General features: G+C 34.9%; 1 protein-coding gene across 9 annotated transcripts in view; it reads right to left on the bottom strand.

Annotated features, from left to right (window-relative positions):
- COL4A5 (collagen type IV alpha 5 chain) overlaps nucleotides 1-21,567 on the bottom strand; it is a 257,708-nt gene that overhangs the window by 70,895 nt on the left and 165,246 nt on the right. For all 9 annotated transcript variants that reach the window (XM_047441810.1, NM_033380.3, NM_000495.5 and 6 more), the window contains 8 exons: nucleotides 19,759-19,909; nucleotides 11,627-11,740; nucleotides 6,225-6,392; nucleotides 4,759-4,848; nucleotides 3,826-3,975; nucleotides 2,317-2,415; nucleotides 857-946; nucleotides 302-441 (listed from right to left, as the gene is read on the bottom strand). In XM_047441810.1, the coding sequence (XP_047297766.1) occupies nucleotides 302-441; nucleotides 857-946; nucleotides 2,317-2,415; nucleotides 3,826-3,975; nucleotides 4,759-4,848; nucleotides 6,225-6,392; nucleotides 11,627-11,740; nucleotides 19,759-19,909 (1,002 nt within the window). The remainder of the gene's footprint in view (nucleotides 1-301; nucleotides 442-856; nucleotides 947-2,316; nucleotides 2,416-3,825; nucleotides 3,976-4,758; nucleotides 4,849-6,224; nucleotides 6,393-11,626; nucleotides 11,741-19,758; nucleotides 19,910-21,567) is intronic.

Here is a 21,567-nt window from a genome sequence, read left to right as displayed (position 1 = left end):
AAAAGGGATGGACTAACAAGACCAGAAAAATCTAGGCATTGAGATTATTGAAGTATATCCAGAAATTAAGATAGAAGAAAAACAAAGAAACCAGAAAGTTTTCCCTTTTTATTTTGGACTGGCCACAAACCCTAAAACATATCTTCTTATCATCTAAGAGAAAAGAAAAGGAATAAATCTCTTATCCAGAATATACTATGTCATTCTATAGTTTGTTTAATGAAAACTTAGGAATGAGCATAGTATTAAAAAATTTCATATCTGCTCAAGTATGTGCCTAAAACTATATGCCAAAGATTACCTTTGGACCAGGAAGACCTGGAAGACCAATGCTTGAAATACCAGGATCACCTTTGTCGCCTTTCTGTCCAGGTAATCCTGGGGAGCCAGGTTGTCCAGGAACTCCAGAAGGTCCAGGAGGCCCTTCCACACCCTGAGGCCCTGTTGAAAATATGTGATATATAATATTTTACAAAATATGCTTTACTTGTGGATTATCTAAGATGCATATGACAAAGCAAAAAGATTTTTAAAAAGCTCCGCAAACTCTGAGTTAGATAATAATGAGCCTCACAAACACAATTATATAAAAGCCTACTTTTAAAGGAAGTTTAAATAAAAGGGGGTATAGCTGGAGAAAAGATGTTTGTGAATTATAACTTTTAAGGTTTCTACAATTTTGTCCCTTAATTCCCATTTTAAATATTTGTGTAACAAGAGAACACTACCCACTGATTACCTCAGATATCGTTTCAGTCTGATTCTATCAACACCAGCCTCTTTTCTGACAAAAAAAGAGATATTGAACCACCTTTCATTAATGGGACTAAATATTTGGAAGATTTTCATCACTCACCTGGAAAACCCATATCACCGATGGTTCCTTTAAGTCCAGGAGGTCCTATAAGACCTGGCTGTCCAGGGAGACCAGGGTTACCTTTGGGACCTAGAAAGGTCAAATTGGTAAAATTAAGACAATGTAGCAATATTGGGGTTGTCTGGTTTCATGGGAATGGATAGTCATTAAAATGCAAACATGGGATTAGATGGATTAAATCTGAATATATGATTAAGGTCCACAGATAGAACCCAACATAAAACATCTCCTTGGGAACATATTACAATATAACCATAGTAATAGAGGTCTCCTAATATAACTTTAAAAAAAAATTAAAAAGTTACCAGAACACCTTGTTTCTTTCCCTAAAACAATTCCAATCACCTGAAGTGCTATTTGCTGTATGTGTACAACTACCCTTAATGTATTTTCACAGATAAATCCAATATAATAAGTCTGTTTTTTAAAAGATTCAGAGATGGGCTTCTCATGTAGAGCGTGATTATATGAGATCAGAAAGAGAAAAGGTGGTAACCTGTTATGATATAGTTTAGTACATTAGGCCAGGGAGAGATTAGAGGTGGTGGACAGATACTGGGCAGTGACCTGAACAGGCATGGCTGCTCTGTTTGTACATTTTTCCTAGCACATAGGTGCTTGAGCTCTGTGATGTCATCTGGGTTTTTTCCTAGGACCACAGTATTGCCTTAAACTTTTTTTATTTTATTTTTTTCCTTTACAATGACTTCTAACTTGGAAAAGAGAATGCAGAAGATGTGAGGGAGAGATAGGAAGGGAGTTTCTCTTCCCAACTATATCAAGGCCATGTAGTATGGAGTCTAGCGCAAATAACTGAACTTAAGGGACTTTGTAAGAATGGGGACTGCTGCTCTTTATTTCCTTAGGAAACAAACTAAAAGAAAGTGGCTGAAGAAGAAACAAGAAAGAGTTTTAGTAGGATTTAAAAAAATGTCGACTCTAAGAGTGATTAATGCTGTAACTGACTACCAAGAGAATTTGTGAAATTTTCATGCCTAGAAATTTAAAAAAATAGAATCAATAGCCATCTGTTTTACATGGTTTAATGACTGACTTGTCTAAAGGCAGAAAGAAAAAAAAGCAGGACAAGATGAATTCTTCAGGCCTTCATGAGATAATTGTCTCATTTATATATTTTGCAATGTATGTAACAAAACACAACACCTTATTTGGATCACATTTCTGATTCTGTGTATACCCTGCTGCCACAAAAAGAAGAAACTGAATAATCAAGGCAAAATATCCTATAAAATCTGGACTGCTAAAACTAGAGCCAAAGGGCAATATTTTTGCCGAAAGTGAGCTCCATATTTCAGTAGCTACCCAAGCTTATTACCATGATCAAATCCACAGCATCTTCAAACATGACAAACACATAATTATTTATCCAGAATTCAGTGTCAGCTAAGCAATTGCTACAAATGGCCTATCACACTTACCTGGTGGTCCTGGTAATCCAGGTTGTCCACTCAGTCCAGGTTGCCCTGGGTCTCCAGGCAAACCCTGATAACCTTTTGGCCCTGAAACTCCAGGTATACCTTCCAAGAATGAGTAGAAGAGGCAAGTTAGGATGATATTATTCATCCATGAAATAACTTTGGCAAAGCAAGCTACTCAAGTGTTAAACTATAAGTGAATTAGAGGAACTGGTGATATTCTGATATAGTATGAGCTATTAGCACTGGACTCACACGAAAATCCTTCACTTTTTAGTTACCTACCATCAAGAAATTCAGAGCACTCAGTAGTGAAATCACTTTCCTATTTTGGGCCTCATTTTCTTACAATGGAAATGAAGAAATAAGGAATAAGGACAGATAATCTCTAGGTTATCTCTTAGATTCTGACTATATTTAATAAGCCTATAGTAGAGGTCAAGTATAGTTTACTGCCCCTATTATACAGGAAGCATAATTGAAACAGAAAAGAAGCCTTGCAAGGGGTAAGCCAAGAAAGTCATTCCATAAAAAATTAGGTGACCCTGCCTCTTTCTTGACTATATACAACACTGCATTAATATTTTTAATTCTTTTTTGAGGAAAAATCCCACCAAATCCTGCTCATAGGGAAACTGTTAACATCTGTGTACACTCACATACACATACACATACACATGAACTGACAATATTGATGGATAGAACGTACAAAGAGCCACAAACTTTACTATAAGCTGCAGATACACAGATATAGCTAGTTTTAACATTCCATATTGCTTGAAAGGCTATTCTATATAGATTGGGTGCCAAGTGCTTTATATAATGATTTATGCTTATCCATATTTTATGATGTTTTGTTATGAACATGTTATACTTCTATAAAAAAGGTTTTTTTTTTATTGAAAACCCCACGTAATATTTTACGCTGTATTTGTTTCTAATAAAATAACTATATGGACACAATTGTTCCCTAGATCTACTTTCAGTGACTTCCCCTCGGGCTGAACTTGGCTGTTCATAGTCCAATACTTGTTTATTCTGCCAAAGTAGAATAACGGTGAACTGTATTTGAAAGCCAAGTATGATATGGATATCAAAACACTGCAGTACAGCAATGTACCATTCGTCCTTATCTGGTATCAAGGAGAAAAAAATGAAAGGACTAGCAAATTTCCTAAACACTGAAATTTGTTTTTCAAGTAATTGTGGCTATATATCCTTTTCCTGTATTACTTTTTAGAAAGCTAGTAGTTGACTGCCTAAGTCTATTTTAAAACCTCACTAGTGGTTAGGTAAAGCTCGTGATAGGTAAACTATAAAGAAAATACTCAAACAAAAGTTGACTGGTGAAACAGTATGAATGAAGTGAAAATTAATATTTGTTACCAAAATTTGATGCATTTAAGTGCCTTTGTTGGTGAATTCTGTATTATAAGTCACTTTTCATGCTATTTAAAAATTAAACTTCAGATATATCAGGAAAAATATTCATAAATAAATTCATTCACTCACCTGGTAAGCCAGGTTCCCCCTTCTCTCCTTTTGAGCCCAGAAGATTTGGATCCATTGGTCCAGGAGGGCCTGGAAGGCCAGGCTCTCCTTTACTACCTTTTTCTCCTGTAGGGCCAGGAAGTCCTGGCTGACCCTGCAAGCCATCATCACCTAAAATCAATGTGTGTGAAAACACAATATATCAATTTTATCCATCAAAGATTAATGCATATAAAGATTATTGATATGTTTCATAGTTGAGTAGGCCACTGGCCACTCAAAACATTTATGCACCTTGGATGTACTCTATGAATTACTTGAGTGCATACACATTTTTATACTCAGATAACAATCCCTCCATCTGGAATTCCTTGACAACGATAGAGGCCGACTATAAAAAAATTAATGCTTAATCCAGACGGGCACGGTGGCTCAAGCCTGTAATCCCAGCACTTTGGGAGGCTGAGGTGGGCAGATCACGAGGTCAGGAGATCGAGACCATCCTTGCTAACATGGTGAAAATCCTTCTCTATTAAAAATACAAAAAAATATTAGCCGGGCGTGGTGGCAGGCGCCTGTACTCCCAGCTACTTGGGAGGCTGAGGCAGGAGAATAGTGTGAACCCAGGAGATGGAATTTGGAGTGAGCTGAGATCGCACCATTGCACTCCAGCCTGGGCAACAGAGCGAGACTCCGTCTCAAAAGACAAACAAAAAAATTAATGCTTAATCCTTATATTTTGTTATTTTGAGCTAAGCATTTACCATGTATCATGGTATCCAAACTAAGCACGTAACCAAATTGAAAACAAGACCTATTTAAATGCCATGTTACATAGAAACACAAGTAACCATTGCTCATTTTAAAACAGTCAACAAAAATATTCTGTACTGACATAAAGCTATATTTAATTTTCCCTCTCACATACGTCTGGCAGCAAACCTTGATTATTACCTTTAAGACCAGGTACACCACTCCTGCCAGGAATTCCCAAAGGTCCTGGTGGGCCTGGAGGTCCCATCATACCCATTTCACCTTTGGTACCTTTGAAGAATATCAATAAGTAATGTTTGCCTTTCTTTGACTTAGGGAACATAAAAAGTAAGTTTTAAGATGTCAACCAGAAAACTATTGAGGGTTGGACGTAAGGCACTGTTAAGTTTTAGACTTTTTGACCATAGTGCCCACTACTGCTGATACCCATGAATAAGGAGACTCAGTCTGGTAGCTAATCTCTAAAGATGGCCCCCCAGTGAACCATATGTCCCAGTATGTACAATCTACTATAAAACCCTCACCTGGAACTAGGGTTGATTCTGTACCTCACACTTGACTAAATGACATTGTGTGACTCCCAAGCCTAGATCAAAAGAAGTCTTACAGGCCAGTCACAGTGGCTCATGCCTATAATCCTAGCACTTTGGGAGGTTGAGGTGGGAGGATTGCTCGAGGACAGGAATTTGAGAGCAGCCTGGGCAACATAGTGAGACTCCATCACTACAAAGAAAAAAAGAAAAAAAAAATAGCTGTGTGTGGTGGTATGTGCTTGTAGTCCCAGCTACTTGGGAGGAGGCTGAGGCAGGAAGATGGCTTGAGCCCAGGGGTTTGAGGCTGCAGTGGGCTGTGATCATGTCCCACTGCACTCCAGTCTGGGTGACAGAGTGAGACCCTGTCTCAAAAAAAAAAAAAGAAGGAAGGAAGGAGAGAGAGAAAGAAAGAGAGGAAAGAAAGAAAGAAGAAAAGGAAAGAAAGAAAGAGAGAAGAGAGAAAGAAAGAAAAGAAAGAAAGAAAAGAGAAAGAAAGAGAAAGAAAGGGAAAAAGAAAGAAAAAAAGGGAGAGAGAGAGCGAAAGAAAAGAAATCTTGCCGCTTCTACCTGTAGTTCCTGAAACACTCACTTTTCTCTTGTGGGATTCTCTCTGTTGGAAGCCAGCTGCCATGGAAGGGGAGCAACCAGCCTTATACTACCATAATGTGAGGAGCCTAAGCCATGCGAAGAGGTACCATGGACGATGAGATGACATGTGAGCTAATGAACACCCAGATGTCAGAGAAGTGCCATCTTAGAAGTAGACCTTTCAGTCCCAAACACTCCAGCTGGGGCAACGTGGGTTAGAGATAAATGAACCAGTCAAGTCATCCCTTAATTCTAGAGCTGCAAAATCTTCAGCAAAATTAAAAGGTTGGTTAAAATCATTAAGTTTTGGGGTTGTTTGTTATACAGTAATATATAACTGGAACTCTCACAGAGAAAAATGTGCAGTGAAAATAGCAAAGTGAGCTTCCTGCAGTCATAGATATTTAATGCTCATCCTTAAGGGATCACGTCAATCTAGAAAAGTGTAACATGGGAATTATCTACCAGAGTCGTATTAGTTTTAATTTCCTTAATCCAAATCAGAGAAAACTTTAAACAAATTACCTGGAAATCCAGAGGCACCTGCTTTTCCTGGAAGCCCTGGTGATCCTGGAGGTCCTATAGGACCAGGTGCTCCGGGGATCCCTGGACTGCCTCTTTCACCTGGGGGTCCTGGAACATCAAGTCCAGGAGGTCCTGGATCCCCCTTCTCTCCTGGTATTCCATGTAAACCTAGTTAATACAATATCAATATTAATAAGTACTGAAGCAGTTTTAAAAGATGTATCTGGTTATATTTCTAGTAAACAAGTGATAGAACCCTGTAGATAACAGACCTAAGAGTGAGTTAGAGATACTTTTGACATCATGCACACAAAATAACTGAACAATCAAGCTTTAGGATTTTCAAGCAGATTGCTCTAAGACAGTGCTTCTCAAATTATTTCTGGCAAAAGGCCAATCTTTTCTTAATTCCTAGTTAATCACAGACTAATATTTTTTATAAAATACAATGAAAATTACTAAAACTGAATAAAAAGCCAAAGATGCAAAATAAAAGCCTACCTTTTTGGTTATTATATTCAACAGATACAATTACACTATCAAATTGCTATAAAAGTTTCTAAATGCTTATTCTCAACATTTGTATTAATCCTATTGCAGACTGATAGATTATTTGACACTGGTCTATTGAACACACTTACATTTGCATTGTTCTAATGTATTATAAATTATTAGTACACATCTCTATGAGCTCCCAAAATTATTGATTACTGAATAAGTCACTTAAGTGGACTTCTTAAATTGTATTTTACCTTTGTTTTGCACATTGTTTTAATAATACATTAATAATATGTTACTATTAGTATTTTTTGTCATCTTTTGTTTCTCCAACCAAGATTTTACAGAAAAAAAATGACACAGCAAAAAATATTTAACCTTAGTAAGTTTCTGTAAGGCTGATTTTCCCCCAAAAGCAAGGTGGTTAAAAAAGAGTATGTTTATGGGAAAAGAATTACACTAAAAATACTATGTAACTTCCCACTCCAAAGCCTACCAGCTGTGCGACTTACGTGAGTCACTTAATGTTGATCCTCATCTGCTAAATGGGGATTATGCCATAACCAATTGGAAACTAGGGGTTGAGCCAGATGATCATTCCAAGTCTCCTTTCAACAATAAGATCTAAATTTATTGTTGAAGACTCAGTGGTGATTATTTTTGTAGAGAGTAAGATGCTAGGGTTTTAAGATCTGTTTTATGTCATATTTCAGCATGGCCCTAAACTGACAAAATCCACTTTGAAGATTAGAGAATTACACTCAGTTGGCAAAGTAGCGATAGTTCCAATGCTGCCATTTTACAGTAAAAGACTATAAAAAGGAGAGAGAGATTTTTATATCATATTTGTGAAAGATGATATGATGCCTAACAGTGAACATGATTATAGCTTTATATGGATCACTATCTATTGTTATATTATAGCTCACAAAGATTTTTAATAGTTGGGTTTTCAATATAAATAATTTATCTTTTGAAACGTGCTCCAAGAGAGCAGTTCTATAAAATAAGGGAAATAAACCAAAGACTTAAATCTGGAGAAATGTTTGTTTTCCATGTTTAAAGCTTTACTTTAAGATATGGCTTTTGAGGAAGAACTACAGTACCTGGTACACCTGATGTTCAAGAGGCAGGGAATTACAGTTCAGCAGCAAGTTGGGCCACCCAAGCAGAAGTAAGTTGCAAAAAGTTTCATTAGGTTAGGGAAAAAAAAACTAAGCATTTAAAAATTAGAACATAAAACTCTACAAATAGAAGTTATTAGACCTCGATTCACTGCTATCATATATTAGAAATGAGTGAAAAAACTTATTTTAGGCATTTGCTTAGATGTTCATATAGCTTATTCTATAAATGAAATGTATTTGCCAATAATGACATAATAAAATATTTACATTCACAAAAGTATTACCTTTTGGTAAAGGTCAGCTTTTCAATTGTTTATCTCTGACTTAATGATTTAAATAATCTTTTTGGAATTTAAGCTCCTAAAGTTTAGTTCAAATTTAAAAATTAATTTAATTTTATACTACAACAGGTTGGGTATAGATAAATCAATCATTATTAGCATATGATTATGGAGAAACAACTTGCATGCACTAGGCAAGGATTTCTTTCTTCATCGTTATTATTAGTAGTAGTAATAACAGACATTATACTATACTTCCTCCCATAGCATAGATTTTTTCCATGAATACTGTCAGGAATACACATCCTGGTAAGATCCAGGATGAAGAAGTCAATATAAATCCCAAAGTTCCGCTAAATTTCCCCACAATAACAAGAATTGTATGGATATGTCTACAGATGTGATATAGGGATATACTGATGTTCTAAATTTATTGGCAGCCGAATGGAACCAGTTTATAAAAAAAGGAAAATTTCAAAAACATGTATTATTCGTGAGAACTTTCCATACACACACATACACACACCCTCCCCCTACCCAAGGGTTTTGTAGCCTCCTGAAGTGTTAGAAAACTATTTTCTCCTTCATCTATGAAAATGACATGAATAATTCATAAACAATTCCTAGGGTTTTGCTGTTGTTGTTTTGTTTGTTTTGATTCACATTAGTGGTGATGAATTTTTTTTTCCTCTTTAGCTGATTTAGCCATATGCTTTGTCCTAAGACTGGACACACACTATAACACGTTTGGTTCTGGTTATGATATGATCTGTGAACATGAAATAGAGTATATTTAACTGATCTCTAAAAAAATTCAGTAAGACAGTAATTGTACAGGTAATGGCCAAAGAAAATAACAAGAATCAACAACCTCCATTTCTGCCTGGGTTAGCAGGTCATGAGATGAAAAATATTTTGTTTCTAGTCCTTTGGCAATTTTTCTTTTATTTCCCTGCTATGGAATGGGAAACTGATATTCAATGGGACCTTATCTTATAACCGTGTTAAACTGTATAGCCTGGTTTAGAAAAGAGAAAGGTAAATAGTAAAAGCTTAATTAAATAATAGAAAACTGGAGTTCAAAGGAAAGCCTAAAAAGCATAATGTAAACATTCTACAGTAGAGAGATAACAGTATAGAATATTTTGCATTTTTCCTATCGCAAAATGAAATACAAGTATATTAAATAAGCTTATTACAAAAACATTGATAGAGTTTCAGCCATGCAACATAAGTAGGTTTATCAAGATATAAGAATCTTTCCGATTACCTTATTATTGAGATTTATGGACATAAATCAGGATGTTTTTTAAATGAACTAAGATAATATTCTATTTTGGTGATGTAAGTAAAATTTACTTAGAAAGTGAGTATCTGTGCCTTGTATAAATATGAAATGTGGTCCATCTCATAGTAAAATGAAAAGTACTGTGATTTGAGAACATTTCTATATTAAGAGTGAATTCAATAAATTTTCATGCTAGTTCCTGTTAATTTCATTTATTTGTTGAATCATATTAATATCTTGAATTCTATGGCTATACATATATTTACAAAAGAAATAGATGAAGTTTAATTCAGCATTATTACTTTTCTTCCTGCCCATCCTATTTATACTTTATAAATCAATATCTCTATATCTATATTATATTTATATCTATATATTTATCTATATATTATATTTATATCTGGTTATAAGTCCTTTGTCAGATATATCATATAACAGAGGGAGAAAGAAAGAGAGAACATTAGATTAATAAAACATTACAAGGTATCAGGTAAATCTGAAAAAGCGTGACACGTGTTAACATATTTGTATTTTGTTTAGATTCATATTAATGGTGTTCCTTTTTTTATTCGCACTCAGCTGTGACTTAAGAATTCAAAATGCTTCTAAAGACTCATGCACTTTTTGGAACTGAAACAAATGACAAAACACCATAGGAGTGATAAGTTCATTTTATCCACCTCTGTAAAACAGCAGGGGCCGGGCGCAGTGGCTCACTCTTGTAATCCCAGCACTCTGGGAGGCCGAGGCGGGCGAATCACCTGAGGTCAGGAGTTCGAGACCAGCCTGGTCAACATGGTGAAACCCTGTCTCTACTAAAAATACAAAAATTAGCCGGGCGTGGTGGTGCATGCATGTAATCCTGGCTACTCCGGAGGCTGAGGCAGGAGAATCGTTTGAGCCCAGGAGGTTGCAGTGAGCTGAGACTGCAGCATTGCACTCCAGCCTGGGCAACAAGAGTGAAACTCTGTCTCAAAACAAAACAAAACAAAAACAACAACAACAACAAAAAAAAAACAGCAGGTCAAACCTAAAAATAAGTGCTTTTTCCTGAAGATCCCTCTGCTTTGTTAGTTGGACAGAATGTTTTTTCCATAAGTGATAAAGCAGCTATTTTGTAACAACCTGGTTCAAAGCAACACTCTAAGTTTTCTTAGTTTTAAATCAGTAGTGACATGTCAGGGACCATAAAAAGGTATAATGTGCCATATAATCAATTGTAAATAGTACATAATGAAAATAACATTTACAAGCTTTTTATATTGTTAACCTGAGTTTCTAAATTTTTAGAATAATAACAAAATATCTACTGCCATTTAAGGTCAGGAAACATATAGCCATTGCTTCAGATAAATGTATGCACATCTGAACTCTGTGTTTAAGCCTTCAGATGTATTCATGTGAATTAAGGAACAATTAAATATTTCATATTTGTTTTAATTTCATAAATTATTATGGTATTTTGCAATAACATAATGATGGCCCCAAGGTGGCCTTTACTGTACTTACCTAGATTAACATAACGAGAATTCACATCACCAGACAGCTCAGAATCCAGAAACTCAATATGCTTTCACACAAATTTAGAGGAACCATATGATTTCCTATCTATAGAGGCAAACCCATTAGGTTACGTGTTGACAAAAGACCTTTTTGAGTATCCAATATAAAATATTAAAAGTAAAGATTTGGAGTGCTGATGAATTGCAAAATGACTGCTATTTTAGGGGCAAAAAGGGAAAATAACTCACTGAAAAAAAAAGAAAATGGGAATGCCTAAAATACACTTTTACAGAAAGTTTTGCTGAACCCTAATTCTAGTTGTCATGTGCTAAGAAATGTTAGGAGGTTCCACAAAGGTCTATGAATGCTGTACCGCTACTCAGATCTGAAATGATCAGCACTAGAAGTTTCTAGGCCTCTGCTTCCAAAACCATGTCTAACTCAACAATTACATATCAATAATACACTGCAATTGTATTATTGGAAATACATCAATTTTAGATGAACTCAGAAGGGAAATATCAGGGATTAAAGTAGCTTTTATGCTGTGGCTTGTACTTATCCACTTTTATAAAATCATACACATAGATAGATTGCCTTTTAAGTCTGCTTCTGGAAGACTGTTTTGTAGGTTTCACTTTATTGATGAGCTAACAAATGTATATATTATGAGTGCTACAAAATGCACATTTACTCTAATCTTACCAGGTTGACCTATTGGCCCAGGAATCCCTGGTGGTCCTGGTGGTCCCTGAACACCTATTCCTGGCAGCCCAGGAGGTCCCATTGGTCCAGGTTGTCCATTTGGTCCAACATCACCTTTAAGAAATAAATACAGTTTAAATATTAAAAGCAACACCTGAGTCACTAGTCCTTGGGAACCATATCATATTAAGCAAGAATCTTGAAAAACTGGGCATTCATTCAGCAAGAAAAGTACACATAAGTATCAAGAGCAAAGGATAGGGAATCTATTAATAGTTACAGCCTTATAATTTAACATATGCTGATCACTACTTCAATACTTAAATCAACTTCACAAGAAAGTACAAAAGATTACAAACCACATATTCCTTCTACTTGTAACTCATTGTGGACAGTTATATATTCATAAGTTTAAAATATATTTTCAAGTTACCTATATTTTAAGATAGATAACTTCAACATTTTCCTTTTTACTAACTCAGGGCCATGGCTTATAAACATGTTCAAGCTTCTCCCTTCATTAGTAAAACATCTCTTTGACATTAGAAACTTAACTGTCCATCTCTCCATCTTCTGTCTGTCCCTCTGTCACTCCCACTTTAAACAATTTTTACATGTACTAAAATTCTGTCTTTTTAGTGTACACTTTGATGAGTTTTGACAAAGGTATGTAGTCATATAACCACCACTAAAATCAAGACATAGAACATTTTCATAAACCCAAAAAAGCCCCTGTGCGCTGTAGTCAACTCGTCCCCACATCCCAATTACCTGGCAACCACTGATTTATTTTATGTCTTACAGATTTTTCTTTCCCAGAATGTCATACAAATGCAATCATATAGTATGTAGCCTTTTGAATATGTCTTCTTTCACTTAATACAATGCATTTGAGATTCACCCATGTTGTTATGTGTATCAGTAGTTACTTTTTACTGCTGGTTATTAGTCTATCAGATGAATATGTACATTTTGTTAATCTTTTTGCAATTTGAGGCACATTTGGGGTGTTTACAATTATTGGTGATTATGAATTAAGCTGCTATGAACACTGTTCTACGGGTTTCTATGTGAAGCTTCACATTTTTCTTGGGAGTAGAATTGCTGTGTCATGTGCAAAGACAATGTTTAACTATATAAGAAATTGTCAAACTGTTTTTCAAAGTGGCTGCACCATTCTGTGTATTAACTAGCAATGTATGAGAGTTCGAGTTACTCTGCATCCTTAGCAGCACTTATTGTCAGTTATCCTTTTTGAAAAAAGGCCAATTCTAATATTTATGAAGTGGTATCCCATTGTGGTTTTAACTTGCATTTCCCAGATGATAAATTATACTGAGCATCTTTACATGTGCTTATTAGACATTTGGGTGTCTTCTTTGGTAAGGTATCTACTCAAATTGTTTGCTCATTTTTCCAACTATATTTTAAAAGTTGGTTGTTTGTTTTCTTATTGAGTTTTGAGAGTTCATTATATATTCTGCTTATAAGTCCTTTGTCAGATATATGATATGAAAATACAGTTAATTTTAATAAAGTCCAATATATCCAATTTTTCTTTTATGAATTGTCTTTTTGGTATTCTAACAAGTTTTTGCCTAACATCTGATCACAGAGTTTTCTCTTATGCTTCTTCATCTAAAACAAGGGATGACAAAGTACTTCCCATGGCTAAATATGGCCTATAGGCCTCTTTTTGTGCTGCCTACATGCTAAGAATGGTTTTTACATTTTTAGAGGGTTGTTTAAAAAAGAATATGTGACAGAGACCATATATGTAGCCCATAAAGACTAAAATATTTACTCTCTAGCTCTTTGCAGAAAAAGTTTGCCTGCTTCTGTTCCAGAAGTTTGATAATGTTAGGTTTTACATTTAGGTCTGTGATCCATTGGGAGTTAAATTTTGTGCAAGGTAGGAAGTGCAGGTAGAGGTTTGTTATGTTGGTTTGTTTATATTTTTTTTTGCATATGGATGTCCAATTGCTTTATATTTTAGCAACATTTGTTGAAAAGACTTACCTTTCTGTTGAGATTGCCTTAGCAACTTTGTCAAAAATTAAATATGTGGGTGTATTTCTAGACTCTCTATTATGTTACAATGATCTATTAGTCTGTATTTCACACATACCACACTATTTTAACTATTGTAGCTTTATTTTAAGTCTTAACATCAAGTACTATGAATTGTCCAACTTTGTACTTCTTTCTCAAAATTGTTTTGGCTATTCTAGGCCATTTGTTTTTCCATATAAATTTTAGAAGAAAAATTGTGTGTTCTCCTTGAGAATATTTTCAATCTATGGATTGATTTGGAGAAAACTGATATCTTAACAATATCCATGAACACAATATACCATTCCATTTATTTAGGTATCTGATTTCTGTCAACAGTGTTTTGTAATTTTCCACATACAAAGCCTGCACATTTTTGTTGGACCTATGCATACCTAAGCACTTCATGTCATTTGATGCTATTGTAAATTATACTGTTTTTGTTTAATTTTTATTTCTAGTTGTTCATTGATAGTATATAAAAACATAATTTATTTTTAGATATTTGCTTTGTCCTATGATCCTACGAAATTCACCTTTTAGTTCTAGTAAATTTTTGTAGATTTATTAGGGTTTTCTAAGTATAAAACCATGTCATCTATGAATATAGGGAGTTTTATTTCTTCCTTTCCAATCTGTATGCCCTTCATTTATTTTGCTTGTCTTATAACATTGGCTAGGACTTCCAATACAATATTGAACCTTTTCATACCATCAAATATGGTAACAAATAACATCTTTGTGTTACATAACTTTGGGGAAAAGTATTCAGTCTTTCACCACTAAACATAATGGATCAAGATTTTGTAAATGTCTTTATCATGCTAAGGAAGTTCCCTTTTATTCCTAATTTTCTGAGACTATTTTTCCAGGAATGAATATTGAAACTTATCAAATAATTTTCAGGATTTACTGAGATTATAATACAGTTTTTCTTCTTTACTCTGTTGATATGGCAAATTACATTGATTTTAAAATGTCAAACCAGCCCGTATTCTAAGGATAAGCCTCACTTGATTGTAGTGTATTATCCTTTTCATATATTGCTAGATTTGACTTGCCAATATTTTCTTGAGGATTTTTATGTCTATGTTCATGAGAGATATTGGTCTACAGCTTTCTTTTCTCATATGTCTTTGCTTGGCTTTGATATCAAAATAATGCTGGCCTCATGTAATGGTTGGAAAGTGATCCCTCTACTTCTGTTTTTGGGAAGAGATTGTGTAGAATTGGTGTTACTGCTTCTTTAAATGTTTGTTAGAATTTACCAGTGATGCCATCTGGATTTGTAGTTTTCTTTGTTGGTGGGTTTCTAACTACAACTCAATTTTTAAAAAAATAGATTCCTGGATTGCCTATTTCTTCTTTAGTGAGCTTCAACAATTTATGTCTTTCAAGAAATTAGTCCATTTAATCTAAGTTGTCAAATGTATGGGCATGCAGTTGTTTGTCATATTTGTTTGATATAGATTTGTTGTTAGCATAAATTATATACTTTTGTATTTCTTTCAACATTTCCAAGCACACAATATTTGTCACAATAATACCTTTGGATGTTATTCTTGCTGCCCGGAACACCTTTCCCTTAAGTCTAAATTCAACTGTCACCATCTATATAAAACCTCTCCAGGTACCTTAGATAAGGCCCTGAACAAAAGTAATATATGAGGTAAACTGAATGCTTCCAAAATCATCTTTTTTTCTCTTTTGTATAATCTGATTCTAACGTTCAACCTTAAGCACATTTTCTTCCTCATATAGATATATCATGATGAGTATTAGCCTTATTAATTTATTATTGGTCACTACATTGTTTTGAAAGTGTTGCATCAACCTTTCCTACAGTTTAGTAACTGAGTTCTAATACCCATTCATTGGTGTGTTGTGTGTGTTTGGTAGGTGAACTTTTATTGTGATCTGCTTGCTGAGTTTTGAGTGTAGTCTACTGATCCAAAATATTAGTGATACATTTTCATAGAAGTTCCCATTGAGATAATCACTTTCATGGTGATGCTACCTAGATTTTCTCACAGTAGAGAGCAATCCTTGAGATCTTCAAGATCAGAAACTATGCATTTGAGCTTCTACTGATTCAGGTACTAGCTGGCATAGAACATAATAAATGTTTGAAGAATGAAGGAGTTACATGGCAGAATATCCCAAACACTTATTTTTCTAGCACCTAAAGAACTGTACTCGGCTTTTAATAATTGAGAATTACTCCTGTGAGGATATGGGAATGCCATATCCTAATTTCCTTCCAAAGATTAGGCAAATACCTGTTAAATTCATGTTTAAATAGCCTTCAATGCATTTCTTCACTACCACTGTGTCTCAAGAATATATACAAACAAAATACAGTAAGTGGGTAACTTCCACAGGAAGACTGTTTGCCACATATTTCAAATATCTTTATCTGCAATTTTTGTTGCTACAGGTCTACAGCTAGGGGAGATAACTGGTGGGAAACACAACTTGTAACTTTGAGTGTTACAGTTTACAGCTGGCCTGAATTGTTTAGTCAAAAACAGAAAGGTATTTTTTTAAGAGCTTATCTAAGAAGAGTTTGTATTGAGCTAGTCTGGGGCTTTTGCTGGCAGAATACAATCTAGCCTGGTTAAAATTGGATTGGGCTGTCTTACTGCTTTAATAGAAATCAATCCAACATGTTCCAGAAGCATGGCCCTGTTCAGATTACTCACTAGGAGCCAAAACATTGACGAGGGAAGTCGGGTTCCTTCCAAATCAAAGGAAAAAAAATGCAAGTCAGCTTTACTAATTCTATTCCTTCTCATTATTAGATAACTCAAAATCAAGGGAGTAGAAGAAACAACAGAGAAGTGGGTAAAGGATATTGGCAGTTAACAAGAAAAAAAAATATGGCCCTTAACACATAAAAGGATGGCCAATCTCACTCACAGTAAGAGACATACAATTTAAACCACTCTGAGAGTAAAGGCAAAGGACCTAATATAGCCAAAGAAATGTGTTTTTTTTTTTTTTAAGAATAAAGTTGGTGGGTTACATTACCTGACTTCGAGTCTTACTATAAAGCTACAGTAATATAAACAGTGTGGTACTGGCTTAATGACAGCAAAATAAATAAATAAAACAGGATTGACAGCACAGAAGTAGATCAACACATATATTATTATTTGATCTGACACAGATCCCAAAGTAATCCAATAGAGAGGGGATTATTTTAAACAAATGATGCTGAACAAAAATTATTTGACATGTGTAATAGTTTTAAACATAGAAACTAAAACTATAAAGCTTATAAAATAAAACATAGAATACCTTGGCAACTTTGGGGCAGGCAAATGTTTCTTAGACAAGACACAGAAAATTATAATCATATAAGAAAAAATTGATAAATGAAACTTCAATAAAATTAAAACTTTTATCCATCAAAATACAGTAAGGAAATGAACAGGTCAGCCAGCCAGGGCTAAAATGCTAATAAACATATATCTAGGAAAGGGCCAGTATGCAGGACATAGAAATAACACTTCCAACTTAATAATAAAGTGAGAAACAAACCATCTTTCAAAATAGACAAAATATTTGAATATGTAAGTAGCTCACAAGTACATAAAAAAGAACTCAACATCATTAGTCATCAGGGAAACGTAAATTAAAATCACAATATGATGCTACCACACACCTACCAACATTCCAAACTTTGAGAAAATGTGGAACAATGCAAATTTCTGAACCACTTTGGTGTAAATTTAAAATGGTATCACCATTTTGGAAAAAGGTCTAGTAGTTTCTAGTACAACTAAGCATCCACTTATGATCCAACAAATCTGCTCTTAGTTGTTTACTGAAGCAAAATGAAATCACATATCCATAAAAAAGAATTGTAAAAAATGTCTTTAACAGCTTCACTCATAGTAGCCAAAAACTTGACACAACCCAGGTATCCATGATACAGTCACATAATAAAATACTCAATGATTTCACTGAAAGAAAAGAACTATTGATAAACACAACAACATGGATGGATCTCCAAAACATTATGTTGAGTGAAAGAAGCCTCAGAAAGAAAGTACATACCGTATGTTTCCATTTATAAGGAGTTCCATTTATAAGGAGTTAACAGGCGAAATAACTTATGATGAAAAAATCAACAGTATAGTTGCCACTGTGGATGATGGGATAGGGACTGACTGGAAAGGGGCATAAGGAAAATTTCTAAAACAATATCTTGATAAAGATTTTGTGTTATACAAGTGTATGCATTTGTCAAAATCCAGTAAATGTACCCTTAAGATTTATGTATCTCATTTAATGTGAATTACATATCAGAAGAAAAGTAATATACAGCTATGGAATTTTAGTTATGGTATGCATGCTGAAGTATTTAGAGAGAAGTATATTGTTGTTGTAATTTATTTTGATATGCATCAAAAATAGATGAATGGATGGAGACAGGGATGGATAGATATGTGACAAATAGTATATAGTATTTGTCAACATATAGTAAAATGTTGACAGTAAAATATCAGTGATGGGTATATAGTAGTCCCAATAAAGTTCTGTCTACTTTGTTATATTTAAAATTTTAAAAAACAAAACGTTGGCAGGGAGATAAAAGGTTCATTGTAGAATCTGGGTGGTAGATATACAGCTGTTAACTGTACTATTATTTTTCACAGTACTTAAAATTTTTTAACAATAAAATGTTTAAAAATATACTTAGAAACCTACTTACTTCATCAGGTTAGCAAAAATCCAAGAGTTTGTCAGCATACTCACTTATCAAGGCTGTGGGGAAACACACTCATACATTGTGGGTGGAGTGTAAATGGTGCAAATTGAGAGGAATCTGACAATATCCAGAGATGCATTTACCCTTTAATTCAGAAAATCCTTTTTCATCACTTTATTTTACTATTATACCTGAACACATCTGAAATAATATGCATGAAAGATTATTCACTATGGCATTATTTGTAATAAATGATTGGCAAAAATCCAATCTAGCAACTAGCAACTGGGATGAACTATGGTATATCCACGCAATTTAACACTAGGCACCTATTTTCAAAAAGTTAAGATCTCCATCTACTGATATGGAGTGATCTTCAGGATACAAATTTCAGTAAAAAAATAAAGTGCAAATAAAGTCAAAAGAAAATACCTTCTCCTTTAAGAACAGAGAAAATAAAACAAATTCTTGGCTGGTATTTATATAAGAAACACCAGAAGGATCCCAACACTTTGAGAGGCCGAGGCGGGCGGATCACGAAGTTAGGAGTTCGAGACCAGCCTGGCCAACATGGTGAAACCCTGTCTCTACTAAAAATACAAAAATTAGCTGGGCCTGGTGGCATGCATCTGTAATCCTAGCTACTGAGGAGGCTGAGGCAGGAGAGTTGCTTGAACCTGGGAGGTGGAGGTTGCAGTGAGCCAAGATCACGCCATTGCACTCCAGCCTGGGAGACAGAGCAAGACTCTGTCTTGGGGTATGGGGGGAGGGTGGGGGGAAGAAAGGAGAATAAAAAATAGTTAAGCAGGAGGATGGAGAGGAACAAAGTGGATGAAGATGGGTTGGAAGGAAGACTTCTCAGTGTTACTTTTATAACATATATGATTGTTTTTTTTTTTTTTTTTGAGACAAAGTCTCACTCTGTCACCCAGGCTGGAGTGGCTTACTGCAACCTTCACCTCCCAAGTTCAAGTGATTCTCCTGCCTCAGCCTCCCAAGTAGCTGGGATTACAAACATGTGCCACCATGCCCGGCTAATTTTTCTATTTTTGGTAGAGACGGGGTTTCGCCATGTTGGCCAGGATGGTCTTGAATTCCAGACCTCAGGTGATCCGCCCACCTTGGCCTCCCAAAGTGCTGGGATTACAGGAGTGAGCCACCGTGCCGGGCCATGATTTTATTATCTATTCAATGAAATAAAAGACAAAAATAATCAATGAAGGATTGAAAAAAATGTGTAGCAGTAACAGAATGGCAGCATAGGGTTTCCAGTTAATTGGGCTTATCACCCATAAACTTTCCCAAAGGTGTCAATTTCTATAAAAGTTAAAAGCAAGTTGAGATGCAGTGACAGCCTCCATACCTTTTGGTCCAGGGAGCCCATCTAAGCCAGTGCGTCCTGGAGGACCCGGAGGTCCTGGGAAACCACGATCACCTTTTGGACCAAGTGCTCCTTTGAAACCTGGAAGTCCTGGTGGCCCAGGTGGCCCAGGTAATGCAAATCCTGGTTCACCCTTGAGCATACACATGACAAAACACAACAAAAACTCCCATGACTTTTCTGTCCTTATTGTTTGCCACAGAGAATTTAATGCCGAAAATACAAGACAATACTTTTCCTTCCATGGGGGGAGAGGAGAAGATAATTAAATAAAAAGTAATTGGTATGTTGGAGAAAACATATGGAAGGATTGGAAACAGGGTTTAGTAAAACAAATTAGATGATTTGGACTGGTTTCAGGATAAAAAAAAAAAACTGAGAGAGCATGAGATTAAAGAACAGACTACCCTTGTAGGGAAATATGATTATAGGCTGAGTATTAGATAATACTAAACAATTATTTTTAATTTTACTAAGTATGATAACAACATTGTGGTTTTTGTATAAAATGTCAATTTATTTAGAGATGAGTGCTGATGCATTTATAAGTGAAATGATACTGTGTTGAGATTTGGGTAAAATATTTAAGCAAAGTAAAAAGGACTAGATGAAGCAAATGTTATAAAATCATAATAATTTTGAATCTGGGTGATGGATATGTGAAAGCTCATTGTATTATTCATTTTACTTTTATTTTCATTTGAAAATGTTCATAATAAAGAGAATCAACCAATAGAGAAGTGGTTTTCTCATGAGAACTGGTGTCACGGGTTAACTGTTTTTCCCATGAAAAATAAGTAATAATTACAAAACACAGGAGGTTTAAATCAATGACGCAGAGATAAAATATATAAAAATAGTCACGATAATTACATGCCACAGCAGCTCTTTGCTGAAGGTTGACTCAGGAAAGCTTAACATTAGATAAGAAATAATAAAAGGAATGAAAAGTAACTCAAACACAGTATTATTTATTATTAGTATTACTAAGTCAATTGCAGTGATTTGCATTATGTATCTGTAATGGAATTGGGACAGAGAACAACAGTATACAAGGTCTGGAAATGATATTCAACACCATTTCAACCAATCATCACACAGGCATGAACAGAGATGACATGGGATGATGACTCTATAGAGATGCACAGAGGGAGCAGACCATCGTACAGGCATACCTTATTTTATTGTGCATCATTTTGTTGTGCTGTGCAGACACTGCACTTTTTACAAATTGAAGGTATGTGGCAACCCTACATTGAGCAGGTCTATCAGCGCAATTTTTCCTATAGCATGTGCTCACTTTTTGTCTCTGTGTCACATTTTGGTAATTGTCACAATATTCCAAACTTTTTAATTATTATTATATCTGTTATGGTGATATGTGATCACTGATGTTACCACATAATTGTTTTGGGGTACCATAAACTGTGCCTGTATAAGATGGTGAACTTAATAAAAAAATGTTGTAAATGTCTGACTGCTCCACTGATCAGCCATTTTCCCCGCATCTCTCTCCCTCTCCACAGGTCTTTCTATTCCTTGAGACATAACAATATTGAAATTAGGCCAATTAATAACACAACAATGGCCTCTAAGTGTTCAAGTGAAAGAAAGAGTCACATGTCTCTCACTTAAAATCAAAAGCTGGAAATAATTAAACTTAGTGAGGAAGGCATGTCAAAAGCTAAGGTAGGTTGAAGGCTAGGTCTCTTGCACTAAACAGTTAGCCAAGTTGTGAATGTGAAGGAAAAGTTATTTAAGGAAATTAAAAGTGCTACTCCAGTGAACACA

This window comes from Homo sapiens, chromosome X (genome assembly GCF_000001405.40).
Source record: "Homo sapiens chromosome X, GRCh38.p14 Primary Assembly".
Lineage (NCBI taxonomy): Eukaryota > Metazoa > Chordata > Mammalia > Primates > Hominidae > Homo > Homo sapiens.
Note: the sequence above shows the minus strand (reverse complement) of the source record. Positions and strands in the feature narration are given on the sequence as shown.